General features: G+C 40.7%; 1 long non-coding RNA gene across 2 annotated transcripts in view, besides 1 other annotated feature; it reads left to right on the top strand.

Moving 5' to 3' along the window:
* The window catches only part of LOC102723323 (uncharacterized), a 137,467-nt gene that overhangs the window by 47,858 nt on the left and 67,021 nt on the right, over positions 1-22,588 (top strand). Inside the window, exon 3 of one of the 2 annotated variants that reach the window (XR_001752179.2) lies at positions 9,323-9,932. The exons of the other annotated variant lie outside the window; for it this stretch is intronic. This is a non-coding gene — a long non-coding RNA (uncharacterized LOC102723323). Of the gene's footprint in view, positions 1-9,322; positions 9,933-22,588 lie in introns of those variants that run through there. 2 annotated transcript variants of the gene reach the window in all.
* Positions 18,162-19,388: an enhancer, noted in NCBI's record as "VISTA enhancer hs848". NCBI's record gives its function as "enhancer in: neural tube[8/9] | hindbrain (rhombencephalon)[6/9] | forebrain[7/9]" and the evidence as "EXISTENCE:transgenic organism evidence [ECO:0001131][PMID:17130149]".

The raw sequence follows: 22,588 nt of genomic DNA, 5'->3' as shown, positions 1-22,588 counted from the left end.
AATGAAATTAAATTAGAAGGCCAGGCGTGGTGGCTCATGCCTGTAATCCCAGCACTTTGGGAGGCCGAGGCGGGCAGATCACAAGGTCAGGAGATCAAAACCATCCTGGCTAACACAGTGAAACCCCGTCTCTACTAAAAATACAAAAAATTAGCTGGGCGTGGTGGCAGGTGCCTATAGTCCCAGCTACTTGGGAGGCTGAGACAGGAGAATGGTGTGAACCTGGGAGGCAGAGCTTGCAGTGAGCCGAGATCCTGCCACTGCCCGCCAGCCTGGGTGACAGAGCGAGACTCTGTCTCAAAAAAAAAAAAAAAAAAAAGAAATTAAATTAGAAATTAATAATAGAAGGAAATTTGGGAAATTAAACACCATATTTCTAAATAACCAAGAGGAAATCACAAGGTTAATTAGAAAATGCTTTCAGATGAACAAAATGAAAACACAACGTATCGAAACTTATAGAATGTAGTGAAAGTAGTTCCTAGAGGAAAACTTATAATTGTAAACTCGAATCACTCAAATCAACAACCTAATCTTCCACCTTAAGACACTAGACAAAGAAGAATAAACTAAATCCAAAGCCAGGACATGAAAATAATAAACATTAGAGTAGAAATAAATAAAATGGAGAATAGAAAAAATAGAAAAAATTCACAAAAACAAGTTGGTTGTCTAAAAAGATCAACAAAATTGATAAGCTTTTAGCTACAGTGGCCAACTAAAAAAAAAAAAAAAACACTCGTATCAGTAAAATTCAGGAATAAAGGAATAAAAGAAGAGACATTACTATGGACTTTACATAAGTACAAAGGAATGAATATAAGAGAATGCTATGAAAAATCATATGCCAACAAATTAGAGAGCCTAGATGAAATGAATGAATATTCCTAGAAACGCACAAACTTTCAAAATTGACTCGAGAGGAAATAGAAAATTTCAATAGGCTTCCAACAAGTTAAGAGATTCAGTTAGCAATTTAAAAAATGTTATACAAAGAAAGCCCAGGACCATATGGCTTCACTGGCAAATTCTGCCAAATGTTTAAAGAAGAATTATCACTAATTCCTCAAAAGGTCTTCCTAAAACATAAAAGAAAAGGGGACACTTTCTAACCCATTCTATGATGCCAGCATTACCCTGATGCCAAACCCAAATAAATACATCAGAATAAAAGAAAACTATACAATATCCCTTATAAATATAAGTAAAAAATCCTTAACAAAATACTACCAAATCAAATCCAGCAGCACACAAAAAGGATTATACACTATAACCAAGTAGGTTTTATTCCAGGAATGCAAAATTGGTTTAATACATGAAGATATATATACCACATTACATGTATATACCAATATATATACCACTACAATATATTATATTAATAGAATAAACAGAGGACCACATGATTATCTCAACTGATGTAGGAAATGCATTTGATAATATCTAACACCCTTTTAGAATGAAAACACTTGGAAAACTAAGAATAAAAAGGAACTTTCTCAACCTGATGAAGACCATCTATGAAAAACCCACAGTTAAATCATACACGCTGATAAAATCTTTCCCCTAAAATCAGCACCAGTACAGGGAATCTACTCTCACTTCTATTCAACGTTGTACTGGAAGTTTTAGTCAGGGCAATTAGGCAAGAAAAAAGAAACAAAAGACATCTAGATTGGAATGGAAGAAGTAAAACCATCTCTCTTTGCAAATGACATAATTTGATATATAGAAAACCATAAAGAATTTGCCAAAAATCTATTAGAGCTAATATATGAGTTGCACAAGTTTGCAAGAAACAAGATTAATGTATAAAGTTAATTGTATTTCTATACACTAGAAATGAATAATCTGAAAATGAAACTAAGAAAACAATTCCAGGCCAGTCACGGTGGTTCACACCTGTAATCTCAGCACTTTGGGAGGCTGAGGTGGAAGGATTGCTTGAGACCAGGAGTTCGAGACTAGCCTAGACAACATAGTCAGACCCCGTCTCAACAAAAAATAGAAAAATTTGCCAGATGTGATGGTGCATGCCTGTAGTCTCAGCTATTCCAGGGGCTGAGGTGGAAGGATCTTGTGAGCCCATGAGTTTGAGGCTGCAGTGAGCGATGATCATGGCAGTGTACTCCAGCCCATGTGACAGAGCAAGATCTTGTCAAAAAAAAAGAAGGGAAGGGAAGGGAAGGGAAGGGGAGGGGAGGGGAGGGGAGGGGAGATGAGAGGAGGTAAGGGGAGGGGAAGGGATGGAAGGGGAAGTCAGGGGAAGGGAAGGGAAGGAAAGGGGGAGGGGAAGGGAGGGGGAAGGGGAAGGGAAGGGAAAAAACAATTCCATTTATAATACATAAAAAATAATAAAATACTTAGGAATCAACTTAACTTTAGAGGTGTAAGACTCATATGTCTCATATACTAAAAACTACAAAATATTGCTGAAAGAAATATAAAGCCTAAATAAATGGAAAGACATTTATGTTCATGTATTGGAAGACTTAAAATTATTAAGATGCCAATACTTTACAAATTGATATACAGATTCAATGTATTCTCTATCAAAATTCCAACTTCTTTTTTTCCAGAAATGGATAAGCTAATTTTAATATTCATATGGAATTTTAAAAAAACCTGTAAAAGTAAAACAGGCCAGGCCTGGTGGCTCACGCCTGTAATTGCAGCACTTTGGGAGGCCAAGGCAGGAGGATTGCTTGCATCCAGGACCAGCCTGGGCAACATAGCAAGACTCTGTCTCTACAAGAAAATTTAAAAAAAACAAAACAACAACAACAAAAAAAACAGGCATGGTGGCATGTGCTTGTAGTCCCAGCTACTGAGGAGACTGAGGTGGGAGAATCACTGGAGCCTGAGGTTAAGGGTACAGTGAGCTGTCATCATCTCACTGCACTCAGCCTGGGTGATAGAGTGAGACCCTGTCTCAAAAATAAACTAATTAATTAAAAAGTATAACAAAGTTGGAAGACTCACCATTTACAATTTCAAAATCTACTCCTAATTTACAGTAATTAAGACAGTATGGTAATGGCATAAGGATAGACCTATTGATCAATTTGATAGAATCAAGAACCAGAAATGGGCCCATACATCTATGGTCAATTGATTTTTGACAAAGTTACCAAAACCGTTCAATGGAGAAAGAATATTCTTTTCAACAAATGGCAATAAGACAATTAAGTAGCTACACGAAAAAAAAAATTTGGACCACTACCTCACATCATATATAGAAAATAAATTGGCCAGGCATGGTGGCTCACACCTGTAATCCCAGCACTATGGGAAGCCGAGGCGGTGGATCACGAGGTCAGGAGTTCAGGACCAACCTAGACAACATAGTGAAACCCCGTTTCTACTAAAAATACAAAAAAATTAGCTGGGCGTGGTGGTGGGCACCTGTAATCCCAGCTAACTCGTTGGCTGAGGCAAGAGAATTGCTTGAACCCAGGAGGCAGAGGTTGTAGCCAGCGGAGATCATGCCACTGCATTACAGCCTGGGCAACAGTGCAAGAGTCCATCTCAAAAAGAAAAACAAAAAAGAAAATAAATCAAAAAGGAATCAAAGACCTAAATTTAATATCTAAAATAATAAAGATGAAAACATAGGTTTAAATCTTTGTAACCTTAAATTAGGCAATAGTTTCTTAGATATGACACCAAAAGCACAAGCAACCAAAGAAAAAAATAGATATGTTAGACTTCAACAAAATTTAAAACTTTTGTGCATCAAAGGACACAATCAAGAAAGTGAAGAGATAATACACACAATGTCAGAAAATATCTGTCAATCATATCTCTGATAAAGGTCTAGTATCCAGAATGTATAAAGACCTTTTACAACTCAACAATAAAAAGAAATAAAATAAATTTTTAAATGAACAAAGGATATGAATAAACGCTTCTTCAATGGTAATTTACAAATGGCCAAAAAGTACGAAAAGTTGCTCAATATCATTTGTCCTTAGGGAAATGCTAACCAAAACCACAAGATACCACACTGCATTCCCTAACATAGCCCCTTATAAAATAAACAAAACAACCAGAAGATAACAAGCATTGGCAGGAATATGGAAAAATTAAAGCCCTGATACCCTGAGAGTATAAAATGGTGCTGTCACTGTGAAAAACAGTTTGTTGATTCCTCAAAAGAATAAACAATTAACCATACGATCCAGCAATTCAACTCTTGATCTATACCCAAGGGGATTGGAAACATATGTTCATACAAAAATGTATACATGATGTTCACAGAACATCATGGAGCATTATTTATGAAAAACAAAATGTGGAACCCACCCAGATGCCCATCAACTGATGAAAGGGTACATAAATATGGTATAGACATGCAACGGAATATTATTCAGCCATAAAAATGAAGCTTGATATATGCTATAGTGGATAAACATTGAAAATATGCTAAGCAAAAGAAGTCGACACAAAATGTCACATATCATGTCATATAATTCTATTTGTTTGAAAAGTCAAGAAATAGAAAATCCATAGAGACAGAAAGTGAATTACTGCTTGCCAGGAGTTGCAGGGAGGAGAGTGGGAGTGACTGCAAACAGGTGTGGAGTTTCATTTTGGGGCGGTAAAAATGTTCTGGACCTAGATAGCAGTGACGTGGCACAATCTCGTGAATATACTAAAAACCACTGGATTGCATACTTAAAAATGGTAAATTTTATGGTTTGTGAATTATATTTCAATTAAAATTAATAAATGTATGAAAACAATGAATCACAAACTTAAATGTAAGATGTACAACTATGAAACTTTTTTTTTTTTGAGACGGAGTTTTGCTCTTTCTGCCCAGGCTGGAGTGCAATGGCATGGTCTTGGCCCACTGCAACTTCTGCCTCCCAGGTTCAAGTGATTCTCCTGCCTCAGCCTCCCAAGTAGCTGGGATTACAGGTGCACGCCACCACGTCCGGCTAATTTTTGTATTATTAGTAGAGACGGGGTTTGGCCATGTTGGCCAGGCTGGTGTCGAACTACTGACCTCATGTGATCCGCCCACCTCGGCCTTCAAAAGTGCTGGGATAATAGATGTGAGCCACCGCGCCCGGCCACCACTTAAAAAAAAAAAAAATAGGCTATAGCCTTTGGGATCTGGGGATGTTCAACATCATCAGCCATTAGAAAAATTACAATGAGATATCACTACACATCTCTCAGAATGCTAAAATTAAAAAGATGACAACACCAAATGCTGGCGAGGGTACAGAGAAACTAGGCCATTCATATATTGCTGGTGGGGATGTGAAATGGCACAGCCAATCTGAAAAACAGTTTGTTAGTTTCCTTAAGAACGAAACATGCAATCACCATAGGGTCTAGCAATTGCACTCCTGTGCATTCATCTAAGATTAACACTTCTGTTTACACACATCTGTATGCAAATGTTTATAGCAGCTTTGTTTATAATATCTCCAAACTGAAAGCAACCTAAATATCTTTCAACGGGTGAATGGTGAAACAAATGTGGTACATCCATACCATGCAGCTCTACTCAACAATAAAAATGTACTATTTATAGATGCAGCAAGCTGCATACGTTTCTAGAGCAATATGTTGGGTGAATGAAGCCAATTTTAAAAGAGAACATGGGATATCTCTGTATTATTTCTTCAAACTGAATGTGGCTCTAGAATTATTTCAAAATAAAAACATTCAACTTTAAACAAAGTTTGGAAAAAAACAGAACAGACTCCTGTATATTCACCACCAAAATTTTATAATCACTGATAGTTTTTTTTTTCTTCGTCAGATCTCTCTTTTTTAAAGAAAATAAAACAACGTAGATATACTTAAAGCAGCACCCTTTCCTGATTTAGCCCATTTCTCTCCAGAACTGGGCACAGATTAAATTTATCTGTGAATATTCTGATACTTCTCTTTCATCAGTATTATCATAGCAACAAATAATATTGCTTTATGCACTTTTTTAAAGATGGCATAGATGTTTTCATATGGTACCATGTAATACATATCATTTTACAACTTGCTTTTTCTTCTCAACACTAAGTTCTGATATTTAACAATGTGGTTCCATGAAAACCTAGGATTTTTATTTTTACTTTGATTATTCTATTATAATAACAATAGTAAATCACATGTGATACTATGTACCACAGACTGTTCTAAATGCTTTACACATTAACCTTTTGTTCTTCATTAAGATACATTCATCCTATGCTATTATTGTTCCCATTTTACAGATGAGAAAAGTAAAGCACAGAGCAGTTTGATAATTGTCCTTGATTGTACTGTTAGCAAATGGTAGGACCTGGATTTGAACCTGAAGGGTCTGCCCCAGCAATTGTGTCTTTATAATATAAATACCACTGCTATGTATCTAGTACACTACCCATGGGCTTGTAGATTGTTCATTTTTTGCTCTCCCCAACTAAGAACATCGTCTTTCTTGTCTCCTTGTGCTGTATACCTAATGAATCTCTTTAACATGTACAACAACAAATGGAACTGTTGCGCTGTGGTACATACTTAACTTCGATGGCTGTTTCCAGATTGCTGTCTAATGTGAAGCAAATTCCATCAGCAATGTTTAAGAGTTCCCATTTCTGCATATATTTCCCAGCACTTGACACTGGCAGACTTCACAAACTGCTATTTTAAAAAATGTGCATTTCCTTTATTACTAAGGTTGCTGAATTTCTTTTCATGAGTTCATGGGCCTTTTGAATTTTCTCTTCTGTGAATTGCCAGAACGTCTTTCATGATTTGTCTATTGAGCTGTTTCTTTTATCTTAATATTTCATATATCATCTATCGGTGTGATATTTATTGAAAATATATTATCTTTGTCTTCAGCTTGTCTTTTAACTTTGCTTGTGATGTTTTATACCATATTAAAAATTTTAATTACAGTGTTGGCAAATCAATCTGTATGTATAAGTATTTTATCTGAATGTGTGTGTGCATATGCACATATACACATAATATATACAGAATAAATATACTTTTCAGGCTAAGGTTTTAAAATTTGAAATCTGGACTTTTCTATAGCTTTTTTCTTCATGGATTCTTTATGGATTGTCAAATATCCTAACATCATTTATTTTTTGAGCCCATCATCCACCCCACTGATTGGAATGCTACTCCAGTTATAAGCCAGGTTTCTTCTTAGTGTGTGTGATTTTCCCATTCTTGCCAACGTTGTGACATTGGTTTATGATAAACTACAAAGTACTCATGTTTTTCTTCTCTGCTTATTAAGAAAGATATTCTAAAAACGAAATAGGATCACACTTCTCAGGCTGTATTATGACATGCATTTTTACTTAAAGACATGTCTGGAATTTATTTCCAGGTGTTCGAAGACATCATTTTTAATGCCTGCAGGGTATTCCTTTAATTTAGAAATATCATAATTTACTTAACAATCTCCTAATGATGAGACTTTAGGTTGTTTCTAAAATTACAATACACATCATATATATGTATATATGTATATATGTATCTTTATATTTATCAGTTTTTCATAATTTATTTAGGGCAAATTATGAAAAGTGGAACTTTGAGAGTCAAAGAATAAGTAAAATTTCAATTTTGTTACATAATGTCAAACAAAGCATTCTCTGGAATGACGGAGCCAATTTAGACTTGTCCTTTCACAGTACACGGAAGTTTCCAACAGCAGGAACTGACAAGATCGCTTCCATATTTTAGAAAGCTTATCCTCATAGTGGTACAAAGGAATATGCAATACAAAAGCAGCAAAGAAATAAACGGTGTTTTGGAAGACTTGAGCAACAGATAAAAAAGAGAAATGAAACGTTTTGTAAATGTCGTGAGTGCCATGTAGCACGCTGAGTGGCTGGGTCCCTGGGATTCTCTCCATCCAGTCTGAAGGGATTCAGTTAAACAGTCTGATGTGGCAACTGTGAAAAGAATATGCAATAGCGGCCAGAAGTTTTGAAGGCAACTTGGGCTGACTTCATTAGAGAGAAGTATACGATCCCTTCATACATCACCCATAAAAATCAAATGCATAGCTACTTTAATGGTGCCATCTGATGAAATGAACTTTTTTTGTTTTGTTTTTTTAAAAAAAGTAATTGGCTGGCGGCTATCAAGTTTTTGTTGTTGTTGTTGTTGTTTGTTTGTTTGTTTTGAGACAGAGTCTTGCTCTGTCTTCCAGGCCAGAGTGCAGTGGTGTGATCTGGGCTCACTACAACCTCTGCCTCCTGGGTTCCAGTGATTCCCTCGCCTCAGCCTGGCAAGTAGCTGGGATTATAGGTGCACACCACCACACCTGGCTAATTTTTCGTATTTTTAGCAGAAAGGGGGTTTCACCATGTTGGCCAGGCTCGTCTCGAACTCCTGACCTCAAGTGATTCGCATGCCTTGGCTTCCCAAAGTGCTGGGATTACAGGCGTGAGCCTCCGCACCCGGCCTATCAAGAGGTCTTGAGACGAGAACTCTGACTGTGCATTTAAGAGAAGAGTTTTGTTCACACGCAGTTCAGAGCTTTGGTAAACTTGAGTACAGCTGCTTGGGGGAGCCCCGGCAGTGGCTAGAAGCTTTTCTGAAATACACTTTCCTTCTGTCCCACCTCGCCTCATTCCAAATGGTGCAAAAGCTGGGAAGAGACCCAGTTTCCTAACATCGCTACACCAGGAAAGAACGGACAATCCACAAACATGCTGTCTTCCAAACTCCATTTCCAGAACTCAAAACCCAGATTCTTTCTCTGGATAATATTAAAAAGAGGGAAAGCATTTTGCATGAAAACATGTTGTAACTGTATTTGTAACACTCAATAAATAAATTACAGGTTTTATATCATTCAGAGAGAGCTGCCAGTGATTTATTCAGTTATTAACTTCACACGCTTGGGAGAATGAATTAAATGCCGGCCCATATTGAAGGTTTGGGGATTATGCAGCCAGAATATGCCACTGAAAAGTTTGGGCAGCTCTACAAGGCATTTTAGGAGAAGCAAGAAGAGTTTGGGAGAAGCCAGGGAGGGCAGATGATTCTGTCCCGTCCATTTACAGCAGCTTATAAATTCCATAAAAAGGAAATGAATTATGCATTATTGGGTTTACATAAGGTCATCCAGTGAACTTTGACCCTTCTCTTTTCTCATTTGGCTCAATTATTAGATGAAATGACAGATTTGATCTCTTTTCAAATTGTATTAGAAAGGGTCTCTTTATTTCACCCTCTAGCAGCAATCAGCTGACAGGACCTGGCAAGTGCATTAATTATGATTGATTTAGAGTGTCTATAGGGTGATTATTTCTAGAATTCTACTCCTGAGCCAAAACCTTTTGACCTATTTCAGGCCACACAGCAAATTAATCCATAAGAAGATTTAAGAGGAGACTTCAGGACAGCAGTTTCCCTCCTGTATTTGCAATCAAAACATTTAAGACACCCAGAGCAACTCAGAGGGATTGAATTACTGGAACACTCTATGGCGAAGACATTTAACAACCTGACAACTTGGTTTTAAAACATCTTATGTGTGATAACCACAAATGGCTCTGAATTAGCCCCCAAAAGGGGAAAAGATTCCTAAGTCTCTCTACTCTGAGCTAATAGGATAGCATAGGAAAACAAATCTTTATTATGAGTTTTTGAATTTGTCACCATTGGAGTTTCAGAATAACATGTCTGTTGGGATATTCAATCTCCCATTCTTCTTTCCAGTGGATTAAAAATGACAGTACTAATTAAAGAAGTAAAGAAAAGAGACCACTGTCACTTGCAATGTATAGACTTGAATTATAATAAGGCTCAGATGAGGAGGAGAAAGAAAAGTTGGAGAAGTATCCTCATTAGGAGTTTCTTTCTAAGCATCAAAAAGCATCCTGAAGATGAATTCTCTTTAAAAAGACGGTGTTTAAGGGGCTGGGGGCAGTGGCTCACGCTTATAATCCCAGCACTTTGGGAGGCCGAGGCAGCTGGATCAAGAGGTCAGGAGTTCGAGACCATCCCGGACAAGATGGTGAAACGCTGTCTCTACTAAAAATACAAAAATTAGCCGGGCGCAGTGGCAGGCACCTGTAATCCCAGCTGTTTGGGAGGCTGAGGCAGGAGAATCACTTGAACCTGGGAGGCAGAGGTTGCAGTGAGCTGAGATCATGCCACTGCACTGTACACTCTAGCCTGGGTGACAGAGCAAGACTGTCTCAAAAAAAAGAGGGTGTTTAACCAAAATTGCCACCTCTGAGTTATTAGATCCCAATAGAGATTAAAGGGAAGAATCATCTAGAATTGATGCCAGCAGATCAATTAACTCAGCCCTACCACTACCTGCCATCCAATGCCCCCACATGGCAAAGAAGGAGTTTGGGTCAGGCCTGAGTAAGTTCTATCTGCAGCACTTACAAGCTGTGTGACCCAGGGCAAGTGACTTGACCTCCCTGATCTCTGTTCTTCTTTTTTTTTTCTATGAGGTACAAAAAATACCTACCTCACTGTAAATTTGTAGTGAGGATTAGAGACCATGTGTGTTTAGAGGAACAAAACTGTTTTGTTGCTATTCTTTATAATCCTCCATTGTCATATTTATAGAGATAGGTCATGAGAACTGAAGAATTTTTTACTTGCTGAGCACAAGCAAAATTTCCATCCTCACACTTGAAAATAGTATTAAGTGGCAGAAAGAGATAGAAACTGGATAGAAAGAGACAGAAGCTATGTCGCTTAACATAAGAAAAGAGGACAGAAAAACCCAGGGGAGGCACGTGGAAGTGTGGGGTTGGAGAGGCTGATAAAAAGAAGGCTCAGGGGAGAGACCTGGTCAGTAGTGGGCACAGGAGTGATACTAGGAGGAGAATATACATCTGGGGAAGATTCCTAAGAGAAAGACTGGGTCTACCATGACATCAATCCCTTTTTCTGTCTCCATTGCAAGATCTTCAGTAAAATCTACAATGCTACAATGCTTTGGTAGGAGTGGGCCCTTCCAGATGAAGGAGAAGTTCTTCAGGTTTGGCCAGGGACAAGGCCGAGGCCATGGCAGATGACAGCTGGCACGTGAGTTCTGTGTATCAGGATCTGACATTCTTAACAAATGATGCTACCATGATTATTATAGTTCTATAGCTTTTATGTTTCTCAAAAGAATTCCGAGGAGGGTGGATCATCTGAGGTCAGGAGTTTGAGACTAGCCTGGCCAACATGGTGAAACCCCTTCTCTACAAAAACATAAAAATTAGCCAAGCATGATGGCAGGTGCCTGTAATTCCAGCTACTCGGGAGGCTGAGCGGGGAGAATCGCTTGAACCTGGGAGGCAAAGACTGCAGTGAGCCAAGACTGTGCCATTGCACTCCAGGCCTGGGCAACAGAGTGAGACTCCATCTCAAAAAAGAAAAAAAAAATCCAGAGAAGTTATCTCTTTTGAGAAAACAAGATGACAAAGACCATGTCAACAGATACTCATGGGTCACAGATGGTTTCATGTTACTTGGCCTCACAGTCTCCACTTGGAAATGTGGGGCGACAATTATTTTTTTTAATTACACTCCCTTTTCCCTTTCAGATCTAAACTCCATGGTTCTGTGTCTCTGTAATTAGTTTTCATATTTTTAGAGGAAGCACTCAGCTTTTTAGCTGTAAACCCAATGGCTTCAGGGACCAAGCAGGTCAACATAAATGAATGAAGCAAACCAAACGTAAAACAAAAGGGAACAGTGGAGATTGTAGCAAACTAGAGGATATAGGAGTTTCTTAAAGGTGTTCAAATCTAATTTTTTTGAAAAGCATTGTGCAGATCAAATTCTACTTTCCAGGACCAAGGTTTGACCTATGACCAAAGAGGCCCAGGATGGGATGTTTAGAATTTGCTTGGTTCTTTTAATCCTATAATTTAGCCGATTTCTGCCTCCATACCACTGACTCATATAGACAAAGTTAGCAGATGCATTTGCTTCTTCAGAAATCAGTTACATTAAATTGAGTGACTGTGGGGCAGCAAAGCTGTCATTATCCTGCGGCCTGGTCATCAGTTATAAAGCTAGTAAGTACAAGCAGCATGTTGGTGGCAATTCCCAGGCTAACTCATATAGTTCTCGGATGATTACACAAGCAGGAATGCATGTGGCTTAATGACAGCTAAAAAAATAACACAAACAACCCACAGCCGAGGACTTTTCTGGGTAGCTGGCATGGCATAGAACAGCTTGGAGACTGGGATTTAGGGTGAGAAGACGTACATTTCAACATTTGCAGATGGAAGCTCCCGCCTCCAGCAGGCTGGTATAGGCTTAATTCTAGTGGTTCTCTTTTTTTTTTGAAACGGAGTCTCACTCTGTTGCCCAAACTGGAGTGCAGTGGTGCGATCTCTGCTCACTGCAACCTCCACCTCCCAGGTTCAAGTGATTCTCCTGCCTCAGCCTCCCCAGCAGCTGGGATTACAGGTGCATACCACCACGCCCAGCTAATTTTTGTATTTTGGGTAGAGATGGGGTTTCACCATGTTGGCCAGGCTGGTCTCCAGCTCCTGACCTCAAATAATCTGGCTGCCTTGGCATCCCAAAGTGCTGGAATTACAGGCATGAGCCACCATGCCCGGCCTATTCTGATGGTTCTCTAAACCAAAAAGTGACTGACCGGCCTTGCAAGACGGTGGACAACCCCAATTCATGGCTCACTTATTATTATGATTTGGGTGGGAGACCAAATGAAAGAGTGTCAAATAAATATGAAGCAGCAGAAGGCTGTACTAATAGGGTCTTGGAGGTAAAAGGATTCTAAAACCACCTCCATCCTAGGACAGAGCAAGAGCCAACATTATGAAGCTAAAGAAACTCTTTCTTGAGCAGCTGTGGTCAGCAGATCTATTTGCAAGGCATGTTGGGGAGGCAGAGGTGAAGAGAAGAGGTTGCCAACCTGAGGAGGGCTATATTGCAGGGGTGAGGAGGTTGGGAGGAAAAGCCATGCAAAGTGACTGTGGCTCAGGGCAAACCCCAAGTCAGAGAGGAGACTTCCCAGGATGACCAGGACGCAGTCAGAGGGAGGCTCTGCAAGAAATCTAGGAAATTGGCTTGAGAAAAGGGGCAAAAGCAACAAAGGGAGCAGAGACCCTGAGCTCTTATTTAGGCTGAGCTAGATGAGTAGCTAATGTTTACTGAGCTCCCTGAAGATGCCAGGTAATGTTTGAAGTGTTTTACATGTATTAACTCAGAGGCCTGTACCGTTATTATCCCTCCCCATTTTACAAGTGAAAAAAACAGACATCTGGAGCTTAAGTCCCTTGCCCAAGGTCACACAGTTAAGAAGTAGCAGAACCAGGATACAAATTCTGCACTTTGGCCTCAGAGCCTGTGCTCTTAACCACTCTCCCAGGCTGCCAGTCTTAGGGAGTCAGTCCTGGAATTGCTTAGCGGGGCAGTCTGCAAGATGGTTCTATGTATCTGTGTATCAGTTTGCAAGATGGCTTGGAAGAAGACAGCCAAAGGGAAGAGACAGAGAATCATCTCAAAAGCAGGACCAGGTCCAAGAGCTCAGGAGCACGCATGCTTGGGTTGTGGGGGAAGGGGTCATCCCAGGGAGATGAAAGGGAGCCAGCATCCCAGAAAATAAGGAAGCCATTCTCCAAAGGTGAAATCAGCTTCCACTGACCAGGTGTCACTTCCAGTTCCTGGGAAGGAGCTCTGTTGTGAAAATAAGTCTGTGTCCTGAGTGTAATGGTAAATAAGCTTTAACAGGGATAGAACCTTTAGGAGGGCTTAAAAGGCCAGCAGCTCTGAGAGAGGTCATATGGGGACACAATTTGCCTAAATGAGGTAAACTTATACTGAGAGCAAGCTTTAGTGTCAGCTGGGGTGTCGAGAAGAAAAAACTCAGGAACCAGGGGTAAGGAGCATTGCAATGAGGTGAAGGAGATGGCCCAGCTAGGGACTTTGGAGAAGAAAATCTTGTTCTGTTTTACGATTTTGCTCAAAGCTTGTGCCACATCTTGGAAACAGATGAGGATGCTGAGAGAGGAAGACCCTTTGTGCTGGCAGCACTCAGAAAGGAGAGAAAGCTGCCCAGGGAGTAAAACAAAGGCAGGAAAGATATTAGCAGCCAGGTGCCGGGCGTGGGGCAGCTCAGGACACGTTTTCTGTGGCCTCATCCCATGGTGGATAGACTCTGTCTCAGCAACTTTAAAAAACAAAACAAAACAAAATTTAAGTATGTAAAGTTTGAACTTTATTTTCCTTTGCAATTTTTTTTTTCTTTTTTAAAGTATTATTGGTTTGGTGCAGTGACTCACGCCTGTAATCCCAGCATTTTGGAAGGCAGAGGCAAGTGGATCGCTTAAGGTCAGGAGTTCGAGACCAGCCTAGCCAAGATAGTGAAACCCTGTCTCTAATAAAAATACAAAAATTAGTTGGGCATGGTGACATGCCTGTAATCCCAGCTGCTCAGGAGGCTAAGGCAGGAGAATTGCCTGAACCTGAGAGGCAGAGATTGCAGTGAGCTGAGATCACACCACCGCACTCCAGGCTGGGTGACAGAGTGAGACTCTGTCTCAAAAACAAAATTATTATTTCTAATTTCAATAGTTTTGGGGGATACAAGTGGGTTTTTGTTACATGGATAAGTTCTTTAGTGGTAATTTCTGAGATTTTGGTGCACCTATTACCCGAGCAACACATACTGTACCAAATGTGTAGTCTTTTATCTTTCACACTCCTCTCAATCTTCCCCCTTTGTCCCCAAAATTTATTATATCACTCTTATGCCTTTGTGTCTTCATAGCTTAACTCTCACTTAGAAGCAAGAACATAGGATATTTAGTTTTTCAGTCCTGAGTGACTTCACTCAGAATAATGATGTCCAGCTCCATCCAAGTTTCAGTGACTTTTTTTTTTTGAGATGGAGTCTCGCTCGGTTGCCCAGGATGGAGTGCAGTGGCGTGATCTCGGCTCATTGCAACCTCTGCCTCCCGGGTTCAAGCGATTCTTCTGTCTCAGCCTTCCGAGTAACTGGGACTACAGGTGCCTGCCACCATACCCAGCTAATTTTTGTATTTTTAGTAAAGATGGGGTTTCACCATATTGGCCAGGCTGGTCTTGAACTCCTGACCTTAGGTGATCCACTTGCCTCAGCCTCCCAAAGTGCTGGGATTACAGGTGTGAGCCACTGTGCCCAGCCTCAGTGACTTATTTTTAACTCAGGTTTTGACAAGCATCTATGTCTTCCCCCTGACTTACTGTTCCATCTGAGGTTCTGGGGACTAGCAGGCAATGAAGCCCAGGAAGGTGCTTTTTTTTTTTTTGAAGCCATGAGAATGAGAGCAAAGCAACAAATAGATCTTGAATCACGGGGAGAAGTTGCTGAGGATGCGAGAGATACAGGAGAAGGCATGCTTAGAGATAAACAGCTACAAGTCTTTCTATGCACATGGGGAAAAAGGTAAGTGGTATTTGAAGGAGAGCAAGGAGGGGGCCAAGAGGGGAGGTTAGTCATTAGTGCGCCACACCTACCAGTGCCAGTAGTGTCTTCTCTTTGCCATGACTGAGTGGGATAAGTGTGAAATTGGCAAGGGACCATTCCAATGGTTCTAACTCCCTCAAAGCTATGTCCCACTCAGCGGACACTGCCATACCATGGATATGCAAACAGAGTGCCAGAAACCCAGATCTCAGATCTGCAGCACCTACTCACACCTACAGTCTGTTACTTCGGCAAGTACCCCATGCAGCACCCCTTGGGATATGAAGCCAAAGAATCCTGGCCATTGCCTTTTCCATGACATCCAGAAGTGAAGAGAAGAGACGCCTCACACTCTCGTTCTCCAGCTGTGGAAAATTCTTGGACTGCAGATCATGTAGGCCTCCTAGTGTCAGAGGAGAGTGCTGGAGGCTGCTACCCTGAGCTCCAGGTGACTGGGGCTACACAGGAAGAGTGCAAGTCTGGTGTTGCCAGATTTTTATGTGTGCAACTAGTTTTTTGTGTTTTTTGTTTGCTTTATTTTGTTTTTGTTTTTTTTTTTTTAGAAAACACGTGGTAGGCCAAACAAGACATTTCTGTAGGCCTTATCTGGCCCCCAAGTCACCTTTGAGTACAGACTCTAAGTAATTGTATCAGTCAGGCTACAATTACCCTGCAGTAACAAACAACCCTCAAAGCTCGTTGGTCTCACTTGGAAAAGGTTATTGTTTCTTCAAGCTGCATGTCCAGCATAGCGTTGGAGGTAGACCCTGCTGGGAAGTTCTGTGCATGGTGAAAACACATGGACCCAGGATAGAGAAGCCTTCATATGAACAGAACCATGTCTGCTGAGGATTACAGAATGTGGCAAATTATGCATTGGCTCTTTAAAACTGCCGCTTGAAATGTATCATGTTTACAGACACACCGTTGGCTTACACAAAACACGTGTCCACACTCCATTTCAAGGGGAATGATAAGGTGCTTGAAAAGAGAATTGAAATATGGAAAACTGAAATATGAATTAATGACATCCTTGTAACTTTTAAAATTGATCCTAAATAAAATGATCCTTTGTAGCATCTTCAATGTAGCAGCGAAGAGGTAGCATCATAGATGGTGCTTTGCAGAGGGTGAAGATAACTGCAAATTCACGTCTCCGTTTTTCCTTCCATTTCAATCCCATCTCTTTAGCAGTTAAGCTGAGGTGGTAAAGACAAGGAACATGGGCTACATTTAGGGGCAAGGGGACACTGGAAGCACCTTGGGTGTCCATCCTGTCTGCTGGGCTCTCTCTGCGGAACCTGGCTCCGTCCACTATCCCTAAAGCCCCACCTGCCTGTAGGGAGAAGCCCTGCCCTCAGGCCCTAGTAGGGAGCTCACTTTCCTGGGTACTTCTCTGAATTATTTCTTCACAGGCATATGCATGCCCAAGCTGCCTGTGAGCCCAGAGAATCGTCCCTTGTGACTCCCCTCCTTCAACAGGCTCCAATTAGACACCACTTAATGGCACCTCCAGTTTGACTGTCTGTCCAAGATTCCACAATGCATGGGAATTCTCCCAGAGATTATTCCTGTTTTTCTCATCTTGAAAAAAAAGGAGGGGGGAAGAATACATGATTGAAAACTAGCCACCAAATGTTAAAAAAAAAATAAATAAATTTGCAGTTGTGTTGCTTTGAAAACTTATTGCACAGCTGGGGGCATTTTAAGAACTTAATTAACAAGCTTTGGCCGCAATGTGCCACCTCTTTGGGAGGGGAAAAAAATCACAGTTAAGATTTGTCCAATTAAATTATAGAAGAGTTGGTGGATTCAAAGGGAGAGAGAGAGAGGTTGGGAGAATGCACTCCCAATTTAAAAAGAAGATCTCTAGTCTGATGGGAGAACGATAGTCTGATTAATTCGGTGCTAAGCTTTTCTACAGTTTCCACAAACTCATAGGCACTTAAGAATTTTTAACCCAAATGTAATTATAGGTTTTGATCATCAGGCATTGGTTAAATAAAGTCCCCTCTTTCCTATAAAAACTGAGGATAAAATATTTTGTTGTGAGGGAGATCTCTCAAACCCCACTTTTTCTCACTTCCATAGAGGACTACACCTTAGCCCAGAATCGAGGCCCCATTAGAACTTTAATGTGCCATAGCAGTTTTGTTCTCCTGGGCCCTATCATCTGTAAAAAATATATGAAAAATTATATTTTATAACTGCATTGGTATAAAGGTGACTATAATGCAGGCTAGATTTATTTTTATTATAGTTATTTTATTTTGACTTTTAAAAGAAATTAAGCTAGGCTCAGTGGCTCATGCCTGTAATCCCAGCACTTTGGGAGGCCAAGGCGGGCAGATCACCTGAGGTCAGGAATTCGAGACCAGCCTGGCCAACCTGGTGAAACCCCGTCTCTACTAAAAACACAAAAATTAGCCGGGCATGTTGGCAGGCACCTGTAATCCCAGCTACTTGGGAGGCTGAGGCAGGAGAATTGCTTGAAGCCGGGAGGCGGAGGTTGCAGTGAGCAGAGATTGCACCATTGTACTCCAGCCTGGGGTACAAGAGTGAGACTTCATCTCAAAAAATAATAATAATAAAAATAAAAGAAATTAAAACTGTAACATTCTAGTGGGTCCCTTAAGGTATGGTAGTCCCTAAGACACCCTGCCTCCTGTGCCCGGTGGATAAGTTGGCCCTGCCTGGAATGTCCTTTTATGAGCCAAAAGAAGGCCATGAGGCCACTGAAGGATGGGTTCAAAATAACAGCAACGACGACACAGCAAGGCATTTCATATCAGCTTACGCGAAGCCCTGGTCTTCACAGCAGACTAACCTCCAAGTCCCCCCCCAGCCCATGCCTACCCCCACACCAAAAAAAAAAAAAAAAATTGTTATTCTGACATCATTGGCCTGAAAGAATACCCAGTACAGTATGCACTCTTTTGGAATGACGAGTTTTCTGCCTTTTCCTAAGGGGGATGCTCAGCCACAGACAAAAATGCGTAAGGGCAGCAGAGAAAATTCATTTGTACAAGCTGGCCCCCCTACTGTGGAATTTTCAATTATATATATCTAATTATGGCTGTCAGTTGATGGATTCAGAAAAGACATTTTGGTCCCCCCCCTCCTTTTTTTTGTCTTTTCGTCATCTCTTCTGTTAGAATGATTATAGCACACTTACACAACTAATTGCCTTACTGCTGATTAGTGATACAATTATGCAGACCCGGCTCCTTGTGTGAACAACCATCTGCAGAGAAAAAAAAAGTGACACTATTCAAAAACTATCCATAATTTAACCAATGTTATTCCAATGCACTGAGCCCAGACAATCGTCTAGCTTTCATATTTCATACCCACCCTGGCAAGAGGAGGTTGGGTTTTGTGTGCCCAATTCACCTCTTTAGACACACTGTGAATCAGAAAGAAAGAGGAGAGAAGAAAGTACTTCAAATGTCAACCCATAGTGGGGAATTGAAGCGTGGTTAACGTCCATTCCTCCTTTGGGTAATTTTTCTTCAAATTTTATACCACTTGGCAATTTTTTGTTTCCTTTCAAACTGCTGAGAAAGTGCAGATGTTTCAACTCCCCAAAGTGGGGCTTGGGTTTGCTGCGTTTTTTTTTTTTTTTTTTTTTTTTTTTTTTGTGGGCTGCTCTCCTCGATCTCTTTCTCTCCTTTTTCCCCCATAATGTTTTCAAAAAGAAAAAAAAGAAAGAAAGAGGAAAGAAAGAAAGGGTTTTAATAGAATCGAAGGACGCGGCTGACATATGACATTTCAACAAAGTGTGTCTTTTGTTCTCTAAGGCAAAGTATACAAGACACCAAACTCCGAGACCTTAGGGGCCACAGGGAGAGAACAGGTGGACGGGGCAGGATGCTGTTTGCCCCGGGGGAGAAAACAAAGAAAGCGATTTGGTCTTTCCCCATGAGCAAGGCAAGAGCAGCCCTGTCTGTGTGAGGAAAAGAAAGAGCCCATTAGAAGAGCAGGAAGGTTCAAAACTGTAAAGCAAAGTGCCAAATTCTCCCCTAGTTTTAAAATAAGATTGGAGGTTGTCAGGGCACAGAAAGAAGGATCCTGAGGTCTTAGAGTGGCAAGGTTCTCTTCGATTTTGATATTAATGTGGAATGACTTTGTAGAGCAGAGAAAGATTCTGGGCCTTACAGAAAGACATTTAAGAAGAAATCCTAAGGGCCGGGTGTGGTGGCTCATGCCTGTAATCCCAGCTCTATGGGAAGCCGAGGGGGTGGATCACGAGGTCAGGAGTTCAAGACCAGCCTGACCAACATGGTGAAGCCCCATCTCTACTAAAAAAAAAAAAAAATAGAACAGTTAGCCAGCCGTGGTGGCATTCACTTGTAATCCCAGCTACCCGGGAGGCTGAGGAGAAGTGCTTGAACCCAGGAGGCGGAGGTGAGCTGAGATTGTGCCACTGCACTCTAGCCTGGGTGACAGAGTGAGACTCTGTCAAAAAAAAAAAAAAAAAAAAAAAAAAAAAGAAGAAGAAGTCCTAGAGAATCAAGATTTCTGATGTCCATGATGCATCTCTGTCACCAGCAAAAGATGAGGAGAGATGGGGGCTGGGCCTGAAAACTTCATTTGGAGATGCCTCATCTCATGTCCCAGACAGAGGCCTTCTCTCAAAGCACCACTTCTGCAGCGTGGGCACTGCAGAACCTTTGAAGTCACAGATTCTTCCAGGCCTTAGACATCATTCTGTCCTTGCTAAGGCACCTGAGCATGTGATTCAGCCTCTCTGCTTTTGCTTTTCTTTCATTCTCTTCTACTCAGCATTTTGTAGCAAGTTAAAGCTTGATTTTCAGTGCCATTGTGTTTTTTTTAAGGGCAGAAATTTTGATTTCCCAGTCCCTCTGAACTTCTTTCCAACAGTGATAACTGAAGCTTCTCAGGATGATCCCAGTATGTTCTCCGAAATATAAAAGATAAAGATATGTTGAGCCAGTTTTGTTTTGTTGGGTATTTTCTGATAGCAAAACTAATAATATTAGTGACTCTTTTTTTGCTTTATATGAATTACTTCATTTTGTTCTTCACAAAATCCTTCAAAGTATGTATTATAATTATCCCACCGTATGGAGGAGAATCCCTCAGATTAATGGAGTTAAATAACTAGGCCTGGACACATAGCTAATTGCTGGTACCTGTGAACAACAATTTGAATTGAAGCCTAGAGCTCTCCAAAGTCTAAGCTCTGACCCACCAAGCATACCAACACCTCCTCCATGCCTTAAACAGTGTTAGTCTGTACAGAGAGGACTTGACAACTCTGCTAATCAGAATATTTCTTGAACAACTAATGGAAGGGATAAAGAAAGAAAGGAGGAAGGCAGAAGGAAGAGAAGGAGGGACAGAGTGAGGGAGGAAGACACAAGTCACTGCTGCCTTGTGGGAGATGCACTGGACTTAGCATAGCTGCCCTGGTGTCCTGGTCACTGCTCTCCCCCTGTGGCTGAATGGCTTGGGACAGGTTGCCAGACCTCTATATGTCTTCACCATTAAAAGAGACGTTTAAGAAAGGATAAATTTCTTCTTCCTAAAGAACCTCTCCCAGTCCCTTTGTCCAATCCTGGCATCTCATTTTTCAATGCTTACATAGACCTCTCCTCTGGGGTCACCTGGCACAACAACGCTTTACTAACTGCCTTCAATTCTTAGGTCATACTGAGGCATTAGGCTTGCCAACCTGGTTGAAGTGTGAGATCTTAGAGAAAAAGAATCTTCTTTCCTCCTCCTTTATCTTCTTTTCTCCTCCTCTGCTTCCTTCCCCTGCTCCTCCTTCTTCTTCTCTGTTTTTCTTACAAGGGTTAAACAAGGGTCTATTTTGAGCTTAGCACAAAGTCTGTTCCCACTTTCTCCAAGTGTCCCACCTAAGTGCTGAAGCTCAGTAAATAAGCCCAATTGGAAGTGGATACATGATTAGTTAATTGTTCAGTGGCAAAGTTCTTACAGTTGATTTTCTCTGCAATCACTCTAGAAAAAGATAAGTAAAAGCCTTGGTTGGTGGGAAAGATGGTCTTTTTGAAGATAAAAAACATATTCAGAGGAATGTTTTTGGGTTAGTTCTTTTTTTTTTTTTTTTTTTTTGCACTTAGCATCTGACAAAGAGAGAGTCATTAATGCCATAGCGTGCATATGAGACTGTAATGAGATGATTCTCACCTGAGTGATTTCTGAGGCATTCATCTCATTGAATCTAAATACCAGGGATCCAGACTCCACCAAGATTTTAGACTTGGTCTGGTAAACAGGGTTTAATGACTAAGAAAACATGTAGAGTCCTCAAGGATATAAATCAAGCATCAGGACCCCAAACCAGTGATCTCCCACCACAGCAAGCTTTAGTCTTATTTGTAAAACTGTAGGATCCTCAAGCCTCCTCCCTAAGAAGAATCAGGAAGAGAATCCTAAGCCCAAACACTGATTTGTCTATTTCCTTGCCTGAGGAAAGATTTGTCTGAGGTGTTTCTGACGCTCAGATGGCAAATCGGGCCGCTCTGTGTGGACAAGTGTGTCTCTGAATGAGACTTTGGTATTTTTACGATTGGAGGTGGGGAAAGGTGAGGGCAAATGTTAGGAAGTGAAAGGTATCTTGGGACAATTCAAGTCAACCTTTTATCCAGTGTGGAGCCACCAGCCATCTTGTTTTTTGTTTGTTTGTTTTGCTTTGTTTATCTCCTTTGTCATCCCTGGCTCAAACTAAAGAGTTTGGGAGCTTATTTCTGTACCCTAAATGCCCTCCTTCTCCTGATGTGACAATCAGTGTATCCCAGTTGGCAAAGATGACCCAGCCCCTTGGTCTATCCATTGAACCAGGCAACAATCTCCAACCATCCATTTAACTATCCATCCACCCACCCACTCATCTATCTACCCATGCAACATCAAATGGTCTACTATATTCCAGGCGTTAAAGTAGGTGCAAAAATCAAAAGAAGAAATAGACACTATTTCCATCTTGAAGGAGTTTGTTGTCTGGTGGGAATAAAGACTACTTATCAATAAGCACAATAATAGCAAGTAGTCAATGATATAATAGGTACATTCATAGTGCTAACATAATATAAAGATTTATTGAACACTTACTATGCTCCCAACCCCATGCTAAGCTCTTTACATAATTTCTCTCATTTAAGCCTCATGATGATCCTATGAGACAGGTGC

This window comes from Homo sapiens, chromosome 16 (genome assembly GCF_000001405.40).
Source record: "Homo sapiens chromosome 16, GRCh38.p14 Primary Assembly".
NCBI classification, from domain to species: domain Eukaryota; kingdom Metazoa; phylum Chordata; class Mammalia; order Primates; family Hominidae; genus Homo; species Homo sapiens.
The sequence above is the reverse complement of the archived record's forward strand: the minus strand, read 5'-3'. Positions and strand labels throughout refer to the sequence as shown.